Raw genomic sequence first — 14722 nt, forward strand, 5'->3', positions numbered from 1 at the left:
CCATGGATGAAGGATTCTCATAGAAAACCAAATATTAATAAAAAAGAGAATGTTAATTAACATATAATTTTGAAAAATATATATGAAAAGAAAAATTTATATTATTCAAAATTTGCTAACTTACATGGTGAAAAATAGAGCAATTGTTATACTACTAAATCTTTACAATAACATGAGCTAGGCTCTTTTTAAAAATTTTTTGGGTATAGGATTTCTATTGCTTCTACACCCTCAGGAAGTAGATGGTACTATCTTAATTTTACAAAACTTTAGATAATAAGGTGCATGTCTTTGCCCATAGTCATTCAACAGATAAATTGTGAAACTGGGACACAAATACATCATTTCAAAGCTTCATTTACATTTTACATGACCTTCCACTATGGCCATTTTGTGGAAATAAAATAAAAATCTGTATATAAAATTAGCAGTGAAGAAATATCCTCTGAAAATCTTCCCCCTTGATTTTCTTTGTATTGTTTACAGTTGTTCTGTATCATTTTCCATAAAATTATTCTGTATGGCACTATAATGGATACATAGGATTATGTATTTTTTTCAAACCTATAGAATATACACCACCAAGAGTGATCCCTAACATATACTGTGGACCTTGGGTGATAGCGATGTCAGTATCAGTTCTAAGAAATGTACCACCTGGTGAGAGTTGTCAATAGTGGGGAAGGCTGTGCAAATGTCTGGGCAAAGGATCGATGAGAACTCTCTGTACTTTCCACTCAATTTTGCTGTGAATTTAAAACTGTCCTAAGAGATAGCTAAGTAAATATGTGAAAATAAAAATATGTGAAAATATAACAAAAACAGCATCAAATTATTTTTATAACAAGTTTCTGATATAGTACTTTATGATATATGTGGTTTCTATAGAAAACTAAAATATGATGATACAATAGGCCTATCACAGACTAAAATTGTGAAGTAATAATAAAGGTATATTATATCTTGAGAAACCTGCCAAAAATATATCTGCATTTGAATTTTTGTTAGTCATGGACATTACTACTACTGCTTCCTACTTTTATAGCCATAGAGGTTATTGAAAATAAATATGTAATTGTTTTTCCCTACTGCACTATTAGATACTTTGAATTTTACCCCCAAATCTTTTGGGATTCATGAAACAAAATCAAAGAACTCAGATTCAGAACTTCTCTGTAAGACAGAGGCGAGTTCTCTTGTGAGACAGTTTTGCAGCATGATAACGAGATTTTTTTCTGAAATCTCTGCCTAGCATCTGTTTTGTCATCCTTCACAACTAATTCTACACTCATTAAAAAATTATTTTGCCTGATGCTGAAAAGAGTGAATTCTCTTTTCTGCAATAAGAACTTTGACAATATGGTAGGTAGGAGAAAAAGTTGTGTCTGGAATACTAGTTCTCTACATCTTGTCTACACCAGTTCAGCTTTAACCACAATAGTACTATTCGTGAGAGTTTTACACATAGAAATCAGAAGTTACAAAACAAAAACAAAAACAAAAACAGAAAACAATTTCCATTACTTAAGGAAATTGACACATTGAGAGCTGAGACTCCTATCCAGATTTTCAAAAATATTTTATTTTAGAATCCATGTTCTTTGCATATTGCTCAATGCTAGTATACATCGCCTCCATTTTAATTTCATCCAAGAGAAGAACTATGTTACTGTGAAGCCCTGCCTCTTTAAGAAGGACTGTACAACAACTTTCTTTTGGTTGTTTACTGTACAACATCCATGTAAAATAAACAAACTAAAAAATGCTTTAAGAGAATTGTGAGATTCTTACAGTGTTCGTACATAAATAATTTTAGTGCTTCCCCATTTATGCTTAATCTTAAGGAAATATTCCAAGATAAATGTGAGAACAAATTGAGCAATGGTAAAGTCCTCTTAAATCCTTGAAAAAAGATTAGTGATAGACTAGTTTCTTGGACATTGCTTTAACGTATGGGAGAGAAACACCAGAGAGCTTGTTTTATATCTAACTTGAGATCTGATTCTCTTTTATATGGTAAAGGAGAATGACTAGAATATGTATGGGTCTGCTAGTAAAAGAGCAAAAAGAAGAGACTCAGAAAGCTCAAGGTTCATACTCAATAATGCAGTCTGAACTGTTGTCCAAGGCCACAATCCAGAGAGCTATTCAGATCAGCTGTGCATTATAAAAGTTGCTGTCCTAAGGATGAGACTTTTTATGGATCTTTTTTTTCTTCACACCAGGAACTTTATTTCTAAGGGAGATTTCAGTTGCTTTCTGTCGAACCTTAATAAATCTGGGCCAACAACTGAACTGCCAGAGGGAACGATAAAGCTGAATGAGATCTAAAAAGATTTACTATTAGTCAATGTGTAGAGAGAAATTTATTCAACCATTAAAGATTATATTTCCCAACCAAAAAAGAAAAAAAATAGTGTAGGAGTCTTATATCAACATATTGCTGATGAAATCGGAGCTCTTAATTCAGTGGGGGTCTACAGCATTGCCTTTATCCCCGTCTCCATCTCACAGCATCCAGTGATCTTCAGAGACAGAATGAGAGTGACACACATTTTGTGGAATGCATCATCCTTAAAAGTCCATGCAGAGAAAAGCAATTCCCACCAGGTTTAACCTGTGAATTATATCTGAAAATATAGCTATTACAATTTTCCATTTCTAAGCTGATGGCTGGATGTGTCCACCTTGCTGTAAAGTTCAATTTCTCATATGTGAAGATAGAGGGAAAGTCAATGTAAAATATATAGGAGGTGGTAATACGTAAACTTCTCAAGGATTCATTTGATTGACTGCACTGAATGAAACATTTATCTGAATTTACTTTTCTTCTTTTCTATCATCTTTCAATTGTTCTACAAATTTTTTGGTGAAGTTGTAAAAATATTACTTTTTGGGTAGAGAGACAGTTTGAAGCTTTGTTACTTTATTGATGTCACTCCCAACCAATCTTATTTGAAAAAAGCTTATTTTAGTGAAATGGAAAATTAGAACTTAGAAATAGTTTCTTCAGTAATTCCACTTTTGCCAGTGACTTTTCATTGAAATATTAAAAGTTTAAGTTGCTATACCTATGCTATTGAGAATATTTTTCCATGAATCTGTGTGTGTGTGTTTCATTTATTCCACATCATTGATCAGAAAGTACATGAGAACAAGAATTAAATTTAACTTACTTGTCATTCTTTACTAGGTGCTACTAGATTGTTTTATAGATGCCTTGCTATTAGCACCTCTTGAAGAAATACAGACTTGTGTAAAAGACACACAACAATTAAGTATACCCACTAACTACAATGGGCATGAGAGAGACTTGAAGAAAATGAAATGGAAAGAGGATGCGGACCCACGAGTAACTCCAAACACTACCTAGTTTTGCCTTCTATTAGCCCTAGTGATAACCTACTTATTGAAATAATTGGCTAACTGTAGGGAAAAAGTTCATTTTTTAATATTTTTTCCTGATTACAAGATGATATGGTTTCACTGTGCCCCCACCCAAAAAATCTCATCTTGAACTGTAGTTCCCATAATTCCCATGTGTCATGGAAGGGACCTGGTGGGAGGTAATTGAATCATGAGAGTGGGTCTTTCCCATGCTGTTCTTTTCATAGTGAGTAAGTCTCACGAGATCTGATGGTTTTATAAAGGGGAGTTACCCTGCACACGCTCTCTTGCTTGCTGCCATGTAAGACCTGACTTTGCTTCTCTCTTGCCTTCCACCATGATTGTGAGGCTTCCTCAGCCATGTGAAACTGTAAGTCAATTAAACCTTTCCTTTATAAATTACCCAATCTTGGGTATGTCTTATTATCAGTGTGAGAACAGACTAATACAGTAAATTGGTACTGGGAATGGGGCACTACTGTAAAGATACATGAAAATGTGGAAGCAACTTTGGAACAGGGTAACAGGCAGAACTTGGAACAATTTGGCGGGGTCAGAAGAAGATAGCAAAATGTGGGAAAGTTTGGAACTTCTTATAGGCTTGTTGAATGGCTTTGACCAAAATCATGATAGTGATATGGACAATAAAGTCCCAGCTGAGCTTGTCTCAAATGGAGATGAGGAATTTGTTGGGAACTGGAGTAAAGGACTCTTGCTATGCAAAGAGACTGGTGGCATTGTGACCCTGCTCTAGAGTTCTGTGGAACTTTGAACTTGAGAGAGATAATTTGGGGTATCTTGCAGAAGATATTTCTAAGCAGAAAATCATTCAAGAGAAAGCAGAGCATAAAAGTTTGGAAAATTTGCAGCCTCACTATGTGATAGGAAAAAAAAACATTTTCTGGGAAGAAATTAAAGCCTCTGCAGAAATTTGCATAAGTAATGAGGAGCCAAATGTTGATTGTCAAGGCAATGGGGAAAATGTCTCCAAGGCATGTCAGACACCTTCACAACGCCCCTGTCATCACAGGCACAGAGGGCTAGAAGGGGAAAATAGTTTCCTGGGCCAGGTCCAAGAAATGTGTGCAGCCTTGGGACTTCGTGCCTTGCATCCCAGCCTCTCTAGCCATGGCTGAAAGGGGCCAAGATACAGCTCAGGCCATGGTTTCTCAGAGGGTGCAAGCCCCAAGCCTTGGCAGCTCCCATGTGGTGTTGAACCTGTGATGTACAGCAGTCAAGAATTGAGGTTTGGGATCCTCTGCCTAGATTTTAGAGGATGTATGGAAATACCCAAATGTCCAGGCAGAGGTGTGCTGCAGGTGTGGAGCCCTCATGGAGAATCTCTGCTAGGGCAATGAAGAAGGGAAATATTAGGTGGAAGCCCCCACACAGAGCCCCACTGGGGCACTGACAAGTGGAGTTGTGAGAAGAGGGCCACTGTCTTCCAGACCCCAGAATGGTAGATCCACCAACTGCTTGCACTGTGTGCCTGGAAAAGCTATAGCCACTCAATGCCAACCTGTGAAAGCAGCCAGGAGGGTGCTGTACCCTGCAAAGCCACAGGGGTGGAGCTGCTCAAGGCCCTGGGAGCCCACCTCTTGCATCAGCCTGACCTGGATGTGAGACATGGAGTCAAAGGGGATCATTTGTAACTTTAAGTATTAATGACTGCACTATTGCATTTTGGACTTCATGGGGCCTGTAGCCCCTTTGTTTTGGCCAATTTCTCCCATTTGGAATGAGCATATTTACCCAACACCTTGTACCCCCATTGTTTCTGGGAAGTAACTAACTTACTTTTAATTTAAAGGATCATACGTAGAAGGGACTTGCCTTGTCTCAGATGAGACTTTGGACTGTGGACTCTTGAGTTAATGCTGAAATGAATTAAGACCTTGGGGGACTGTTGGGAAGGCATGATTGGTTTTGAAATGTGAAGACATGAGATTCGCAAGGGGTCGGGGTGGAATGATATGATTTTGCTGTGTCCCTACCCAAAAATCTCATCTTGAACTGTAGCTCCCATAATTCCCACATGTCATGGGAAGGACTAAGAAGGAGGTAATTGAATCATGGTGGTGGGTCTTTCCCATGATGTTCTTGTGATAGTGAATAAGTCTCACAAGAGCTAATGGTTTTATAAAGAGGAGTTCCCCTGCACATGCTGTCTTGCCTGCCACTATGTAAGACATGACTTTGCTCCTCTTCTGCCTTCCACCATATTGTAAGGCTTCACCAGCCACGCTGAACTGTGGGTCAATTAAACCTCTTTCCTTTATAAATTACCCAGTCTCAGGTATGTCCTTATTCGCAGTGTGAGAACAGAGTAATACACAGGAGTAATTTAAATGATTATGTTCTTTATTCTATTTTCCTCATGACTTTGGGTATATATTGCTGGTATAAAAAGTGTTATACCTTCAGTTAATAAATTTGGATGAGGAAATCAGTAAACTAAATTAAAAAAGGACATACTACATATTTTGCTTAAATGATTAATAAAGAATATAATATTATAGACTATAACATAATTATTACATTCCAAACAGTAACATTTAAGCTGACCACTAATAGATTTGAGAAATGAGTGTTGGAATTCTTACATTATATTTTTAGATAGTATCAGAATTAAAATAAAGATAAAGATAATTATGTAAGTTAAAAAATATCTTATTACAAAATTCAATTCATTAATATTTACCAATTTTTTTCTATTCTAACTTATAAGGAAAGCAAATCCTTAGTGACTTTAGGGTTTTTGCTTTGTATCATTAAAAAAGGCAGCTGAATTTTGACTAGGAGAGGATTCCCTACATTTAATATACATCCTATCTTTTCTGTTACCTAGAAACTTGAGATTCCTTATCTGAAGAATAAAGACTCAACTCAAGCAACAGAGACACTGATAATGGCAGTGATTATAGTAGTAATGGTGTTGGAGAAGGTGGTATATGTGGAAGTGTGGGGGTTTTCAAGAGGAGAGGGACATAATGAGGGGAAGATAAATTATAGCAAAGTCCTCTCTTATGTATTATTATTTTCCCACTAGTCCAACCTCTCCTAATCACATGCCAGAAAGACCAAGGAATCTGAACTGTTGATATTGTGAGTTGAAGCAAAATTTCCATTTCAGCAGAACAGGACACATCCTGGACCAGTGGGAAGCCTGGGATATTTTTCAGGAAGTCTAATTGAAACTGGCATTATTATTATTTTCGGTGTATCTTCACAGCATCTAATATGCCTTATTATTAAGGAAAGAATATTTTTAAAAGATATATCTAGTTTAATATTTGTCAAAATTAACTAAAATAGCACAATAAAGTTACCTTATTTGCTAATTAGGTAAAGAGATCTAATGTCATTTTCCCTATATCCATGCATTTCTTAAAGTTTTGTGTGAAAATATATGAAATGCATTGATATATACAATAAGGGATAAGAATAAAAAATTAGTGTGTATGATCCTGAAATCCATCATGCTATACATTTTAAAAAACATACCGCATAAAGACCAGTATAGTCATCACTCCCGACCTGAAGCGATGGTCACACTGGAAAGGAAAGACTAACACACCTGAACCAACAGCAATGGGAAGAGAATAAACTGTACAGTATCCATGTATGCACTATGATTCTTGAAAAAGGGAAAATTAGGGAACTTTTAATTTAAAAAGTAAACGACATTTTTATGCATTGAAGCATTGGTTGAGGAGAAGCAGGAGAGCAATACAGGGGAAATGAAAAACTGGAGTGAAGCCACAAATCAGAGATGCACTTTGAGGAAAATGAAGGACAACGATATAAACAGAAGGTAGGAAATGTTTTTGGAAGCTTTATAAAGTAGCTTAGTGCAACACAAAATTCACCAAGGAATTGTTTTTAATAGCTGAACTTCCAAAATGTCCTAATTTCTGTGTATTAAAAATAGCATTTCTTTGTAAATTTGCAATTAGTTTCCATTTTTAAGGAGTTAATTCCCAGTTTTTAAAGACAGAGAATAGCTCATTCATTATCTTTTTGTCTCTCTTCTTTAGCATTTGTACATGAGCATCTCACATTTCCATCACATTAACACAACCCTGGCTTCCTGCCATTTGCTTATTATCACCTCCACTGAAGAACACCAAAACTTGAATAACTCATAGGAAAAAATGCACACTGGTAATGTATGCTCTTAAGCGTTTTGTTAATATTTGGGGTAAGAAAAGAGGTTTGAAAATATGTGTTCTCATAAAGCTTGAGGATTTTCTGTGAAGTTTAACTACCTATAATGTGACTTAACTTTTTAATAGGGATATGGCAACTTAAAGGAGAGCTACCTTGGAGTTTATTGTCATTGAATGAAAGAGTATTTGCTAATCATATTTTTTTCTACTGACACCATTAAACTTGACAAAGAAGTAGATCTTGAGGAAATTGAGTAATATTTACATCTAGGATATAAAGTTTCTAACTATTCTATGAATAAAATTTTAATATTTGTAATACAATTTATTTCAATAATTTGAATTTTACTTATTCTTGAGTATATACATGTATATATACTCAAGAATATATATACTCAAGAATATATATATACTCAAGAATATATATACTCAAGAATATACATATATGTGTATATATATACACTCAAGAATATACATATATGTATATATGTATATATGTATATTTGTACACGTATATGTATATATGTATATATACATTTTACTTATTCTTGAGTATATATACACTCAAGAATATATATATACTCAAGAATATACATATGTGTATATATATACTCAAGAATATACATATATGTATATATATGTATATATGTATACTCAAGAATATACATATATATACACACACACAAGGGATAAGAGGTATGGTTATTTTAAATATACATTTTGGACTAAATGGAAGAGAATTTCTGAGAAAATAGTGGGTAGAGAGTAGAATGTGCTGAAAGAGGATGTGAGTTCCTCTTAATTGCCTAATATTTAAATATTCATTAATAGTCTAGAAAAGACAAAGAGCAGTTTTCCAAGAAAGACTAATAAAAAATAAAACTAAAAATGGTAATTGTGATTATATCTGGGAATAAACATAAATTTAAAAGGGATAGAGAAAATGTACATTCACTTTTTATTCTATATGCTTAGATATTACTTGTATTTTACAAGCCTCTATAACCTTTTTGTATAAACATATACAAAATAAAACAAAAACTACCATCCATCATTATGATTTACCCACAAATTAGGATATTTATTTCTCTGTTGTCTTTATACTATAATCACACAATAACATGAAATTATTTAAATTATTTCAGAAATAAAAATTTATTATATAGTTTCCATTTTATTCTCTTGCCATGGACCCATTAACAGCAACCACAATGATAATGACAATAGCTAATGTTTAAAAGCCCATTTTATATGCTAAATACTGTTCAAGATATGTGTGTGTATGTGTGTGTGTGTATGTGTGTGTACAAATTCTCAAGGTGGGGAATATAATGCTATACCACAGGCACTATTTTAAATATTACTTCTAATAGAGAAGAAATCTGTCCTGGAGACATTATATAACTTAATACAGGATTTAAACCTAGGCAATTGTTAAGGATTGACCTCTATCCTTACTATTTTATGGTTATAAGGTATTACACAAAACTTTAAAATGAGTTGCCAAAAGGAGGAAGCTGTGAAACTAGTGAAGATGACGATTTTGCATGGACTAATTTTGAAAATTCTTGGGGAAAAGTATCAACTGTAAGGCTGATTTTCAAATAAGCCCAGTGACACTTTATTGGAACTGAAGAGGGGGAATGCCTTACAATGTGAGGACTGTTATATTTCGGTTTGGTTAAAATCAACAATAATTGAAGGATGTTTTTTCAATAATAACATTTTTGTTAAGTTTATATCACTATTTCAAATATATTTACTTTAGACATACTGGGATTGTCATCAAATCATGTTTTGGAGGAACAAAAGAAACTCATGATTTGATTTTTTATTTGCCATTTATTTCAAGTTAATCTCATAAATTTTGTACACAATAGAGGAATAAGTATAAATTTAAATATATGCACATATATTTGTATGGGATATTTTCTAGTGGACATCTGTTAAATTTAACATTTTGATCATCATACACATTAGTTAATACTACTTTTAACAATAATACTATTATTTAATGATAATATTGAACATTTGTGAGCACTTACTATGGTTCAAGCTATATATAGTAGTTTCTCTTTCTCTCTTCATATCAGTCTCAAGAATCCTGCCAATTTAAAAGTCTTTTTTTAGCTATTTTTATTTTTTGTTAACATTTTCAATATGGTTTTTAAAAATGTGTTAGGATTCCAAATTTTCAGGCACTGAAAAATGTTTTCAAACATGGATTAATGAGCATCATGGGATTATCTGAGAATGTGAGAGAAAGATAATGACCTCTCTAATTCACAAAGTCACTGCATTTATTTCTTTATTTATTCAAATCTTGTAGAGAATGTTCTGTCTCTGGCTCTGTAAGAGCACCATCTGGTGGTATCCAAGTCTTTTAAGACAATCTGTAGACATCATTACCAACGGTTTTGTGGGGTACAGCGCTAAACTTGTTAGAATGTAGATTTATATTTCTTTTGATTCTTTTTTGTTCTAAGTTTCACAAGACAATTATTTATTATTTTGAGTGAATAACTTACACATAAAATCAAATCCCATGTATGAAGTACATAAAAGTCTATTTTTCCCTCAGGAGAAAAAAAAAAAACAAAAACTACTTTTCCTTATTATTGAGTATTGGGCAGAAAAGTTTACAATGGCTAGGACTAGCTAAAGTATAGAAAAATCAACTTCATTCAAATTTAAATATGCACAACCTCTTAGGGTTAGAGTTAGAAGACGACAAGCTGTTAATACTCCAACAGGGTTCATTGCCAAGCATTCTAGGTATTCTAATACTTTGTAGTTTCAAAATAAGTAACAATTTCAATAATTTTCCACTGAAAATACTACTAAATGTTGGGATGATTTTACTGAACTTTTGAAACACTTGTTACATTCACAGTCTTGCCAGGACAATCCTCACAGATATATATTTTATGCAAAAGAATGTCTACAATGGTGAATAGCTTACCAGCTTGTGACAAAATATAATTCCAATAGAATTTGATAGCAAATTTAACCAAAAATAATCATCCAATATTCTATTCATAATATATTTTGTTAAAAAAATAAAATTTTCTAGAGAAATACATATGGATTTATAATATCTACAGAGAAATAACACAAATGTTATGTAAGTGGAAAATTATAATTTATTAGAATACAAAGAACCAATTCTCATAGATTTAAATTTTTTCTATGTTAAAATAATAGTCAATATTTCTTTCTTTATGGCTAATTAAAGTTGTACTTGTTCTTCTGTATCAGTGATAATTAAAACTTAGATACGTAAGTACATTTTGTAAATTTTGAGACAAGAAAATTTATTCCCAATATATTCTCTAGGATTGAAAATATTATTAGTTACTTTATGTAAATTTTCACTCTTTTTATTTGCAAACTAAAAACATAGCTATAGTAAAAGACCATGGGTGAAGAATTTAAGTTCTGAAATAAAGTTGTTTGGGTTTGAATCTTGCTCTTTTTTAGCTATGTGCTCTTAGACAAATTACTTCTATAGGGCACTATCTATAAAATGCTGATAACAACTCCAGTCTAAGGCTGTAATAAGTATTAAACAATTTAAACCAGTCTAGAATTTGAAGTTGTACTTACTTTTATCAAGCATTAAATAAAGGTTAGCTAGTAACTATTGAAATGTTTTCATAAGAGGTATTCAGTTATGACTCCACTTTGCATTTTCCTGTGGAAATATATTTAACTAATATTCCATTTGTTGGTTGATTCATTGTAAGAGTCACTTATGAAATATAAAATGCATTTCTATGGCACAGCTTCCTAGCACTACTGAGGATGAATTCCACATGCCATGATCATTGGCTACCAAAGTCCCTGGGCTTTATTCCACTATCTGTGAAAACGCTGTCTGTCACATTGGTATGTTGAATACATATTTCTGTATCTTGTATGTATCATGACATGTTAGTGTTTGTATGAATGACATGAAGCAATTTCTATCACCAGATTTGTCATATTTAAAGCCACAACAGAACAAAATACCTAGATATACAGGTAACCAAGGATGTAAAAGATCTATCTATTCAACGAAAATTGCAGAACAGTACTGAAAGAAATCAGAGATGACACAAACAAATGGAAAAATACTCTAAGATCATGGACAGGAAGAATCAATATTGTAAAAACAGACATATAGCCCAAAGTAATTTAGAGATTCAATGCTATTCCTATCAAACTATAAACATCATTTTTCATAGAATTAGAAAAAGCTACCTAAAATTCATATGGAACAAAAAAGAGCCTGAATAGCCAAAGCAATCCTAAGCAAAAAGAACAAAGCCAGAAATATCAAATGACTTTACTTCAAACTATACTACAAGACTTCAGTAACCAAAACATCATGATATTGATACAAAAATAGACACACAGACAAATAGAACAAGTTAGAAAACCTGGAAATAAAACTGCACACCTACAACCGTCTGATTTTTGACAAAGTCGACAGAAACAAGCAATGGGGAAAGGACTCTGTATTCAATAAATGATGCTGGGATAATACAGGCTGGTCACTGCAGAAGATTGAAACTGGACCCCTTTCTTTCACCACAAACAAAAATCAACTCAAGATGGTTTAAAGACTAAAATGTAAAACTTCAAACTATAAAAACCCTAGAAGAAAAACTATAAAATACTATTTTGGACATAGGCCTTGAAAAAGATTTCATGACAAAGGCTCGAAAAGCAAATGCAACAGAAAGAAAAATTGAAAAATGGGACCTAATTAAACTAAAGAGCTTTTGCACAACAAAGGAAACTATCAACAGAGTAAACAGAAAACCTATAGAATGGGAGAAAATATGTGTAAACTATGTATTCAACAAAAGCCTAATATCCAGAATCTATAAAAAAAACTTGGACAAATCAACAAACAAAAAACAAACAACCCCATTAAAAAGTGGGCAAAGGACATGAACAGTCACTTCTCAAAAGAAGACATACAAATGGCCAACAAACATTAATACTCATCACTAATCATTAGAGAAATGCAAATCAAAACCACAATGAGATATCATCTCATACCAGTTGGAATGGCTATTATAAAAAGTCAAAAAATAATACATGGTGGTGAGGATGTAAAGAAAAGAGAATGGTTATATGCTGCTGATGGGAATGTAATTAGTTCAGCCATTGTGAAAAGCAGTTTGGAGATTTCTCAAAGAACTTAAAACAGAACTACCTTTTTACCTAACAATCCCATTACTGGGTATGTACCTAACGGAGTATATATTGTTGTACCAAAAAGACACATGCATTTGTATGTTCATAACAGCACTTTTTACAATAGCAAAGACATGGAATAAACTTAGATGCCCATGAATACTGGACTTGGTAAAGAAAATGTGGTACATTTACACCATGTAATACTATGCAGCCATAAAAAAAAAAATAAAATCATGTCTTTTCCTGAAACATGGATACAGCTGGAGGCCAATATCTAAGGGAAATAGTGCAAGAAGAGAAAACCAAATGCTGCATATTCTCACTTATAAGTGGGATCTAAATGTTGCATACATATGAACACAAAGAAGGGAATAATAGACTCCAGGGCTTACTTAAGGGTGAAGTGTGGGTGGAAGGAGGGTGAGGATGGAAAAACTACCAAGCTGGTATTATGTTCACTGCCTGGGGGACAAAATCATTTGTGCACCAAACCCCAGCAACACGCAATTTACACATGAAACAAATCTGCACACATACCTTCTGAACCTAAAGTAAAAGTTGGGAGGAAAAATAAATAAATAAAACTCACCATATTTAAAAAGAGTAGTTATACATATTTCAATAATCCATTATATTGTTGGGAAGACTTAGGGGTGTATAACACACCAATATTATATCCAAACAAACTCTAAATTAGTCAGATATTTTAAGTGAATAGTTCTTACATACATATTTATGTAATTCTAGTGAGTATCTTTGATTGCCTCAGGGAAGGATAAAAAACCATTGCCAATTTTCTTTACTGATAGTTGAACTTTCCATAATAACGCCAGCTGTTTAAACTCTAGATTTTCTCATGAAAATATGTTGTTTCTGGTAAGCCTCAACAGCTTTTATTTACCTGCTTAGAAAAATGTGTCTGTTTTAATTCTATGGTTCTTTGAAATCAACTTTACAACGTTTGACTCACTATTGATTTTTATTTTTGTTTTTAGATAGCATATCATCTAAATACATTTTATCATTTTATTTTAGCTACGACCCAGCAAATCAAAACAACAATTTATGTACCAAGCAAATTAAATTTCCATCTATGAGACAAATTCAGAACAATAAAAATTGAAATGATAAACTGGGTGTGTTCAAGGAGTTTTTGTATGTGAATATATAGTCTAAGCCAGAGTTCAATTATTCTATTTTGAAAATTATCAAGTTAATGGAAAAAAACTTTGCACCAAAACAATTGTACTTTCTAAGATCTGGACATAACCAAATAATTTAGTAGGTTCAATATTTTTCCATCTGATATTTGCATATATGTGTTTATTATCTAAGGATAATAATGTTTAAATAGGAATAAAATTTTATAGAGCAAGACATTACAGAAATGAGTTGTGTACAAATAAAGCAGAAATAAACTAAGGTTATCTAAAAGTATAATGAACTGTTGATTAATAACACATTAGCAGTTAACACAAAAATCAAATTAGTCATCTAAAGAAGTTTGCATATATATGTTGCTCTTGTCATTGATGGGGCTGTAATAGGTTTTAAAGCAAGTATGCCTGTATGATGAGTTCATCTGGTATTCAGTGTAATAGCACAGATAATAATGAAGTCATTTGGCTTCCATTATATAAACATTAGATAATGGATACCTATATTAAAATGCAACTCTTATGTTTGTGCTTATTTTTGTCTTCATTTGTACATAGTACTAAATCTTAAAATTGAGCTTTCATGCAGCTTGTTGACATTTATAACTCTGGATTTTGAGTGACTTTTATGAACAAAAGCATCTCATTACATTGCTTTAGATTCTAAGATAAACAACAATTGGATTTCTTAAAAAGGGCATCGTTTATGGTTATTACCTAGTTATCTAATCTTATTTTCCCCATCCCACTTTTTGCTACTTTTTTGTATTGGAAGCAGGCATTCACAATAACATCTTGAGAAAATATACCAGTACACAA

The 14722-nt window shown here is 32.9% G+C and overlaps 1 long non-coding RNA gene across 2 annotated transcripts in view; it reads right to left on the minus strand.

Annotated features, from left to right (window-relative positions):
• Positions 1-14722, minus strand: part of MIR3171HG (MIR3171 host gene) — a 351396-nt gene that overhangs the window by 222272 nt on the left and 114402 nt on the right. The gene's annotated exons all lie outside the window — the stretch shown is intronic.

This window comes from Homo sapiens, chromosome 14 (genome assembly GCF_000001405.40).
Source record: "Homo sapiens chromosome 14, GRCh38.p14 Primary Assembly".
NCBI classification, from domain to species: domain Eukaryota; kingdom Metazoa; phylum Chordata; class Mammalia; order Primates; family Hominidae; genus Homo; species Homo sapiens.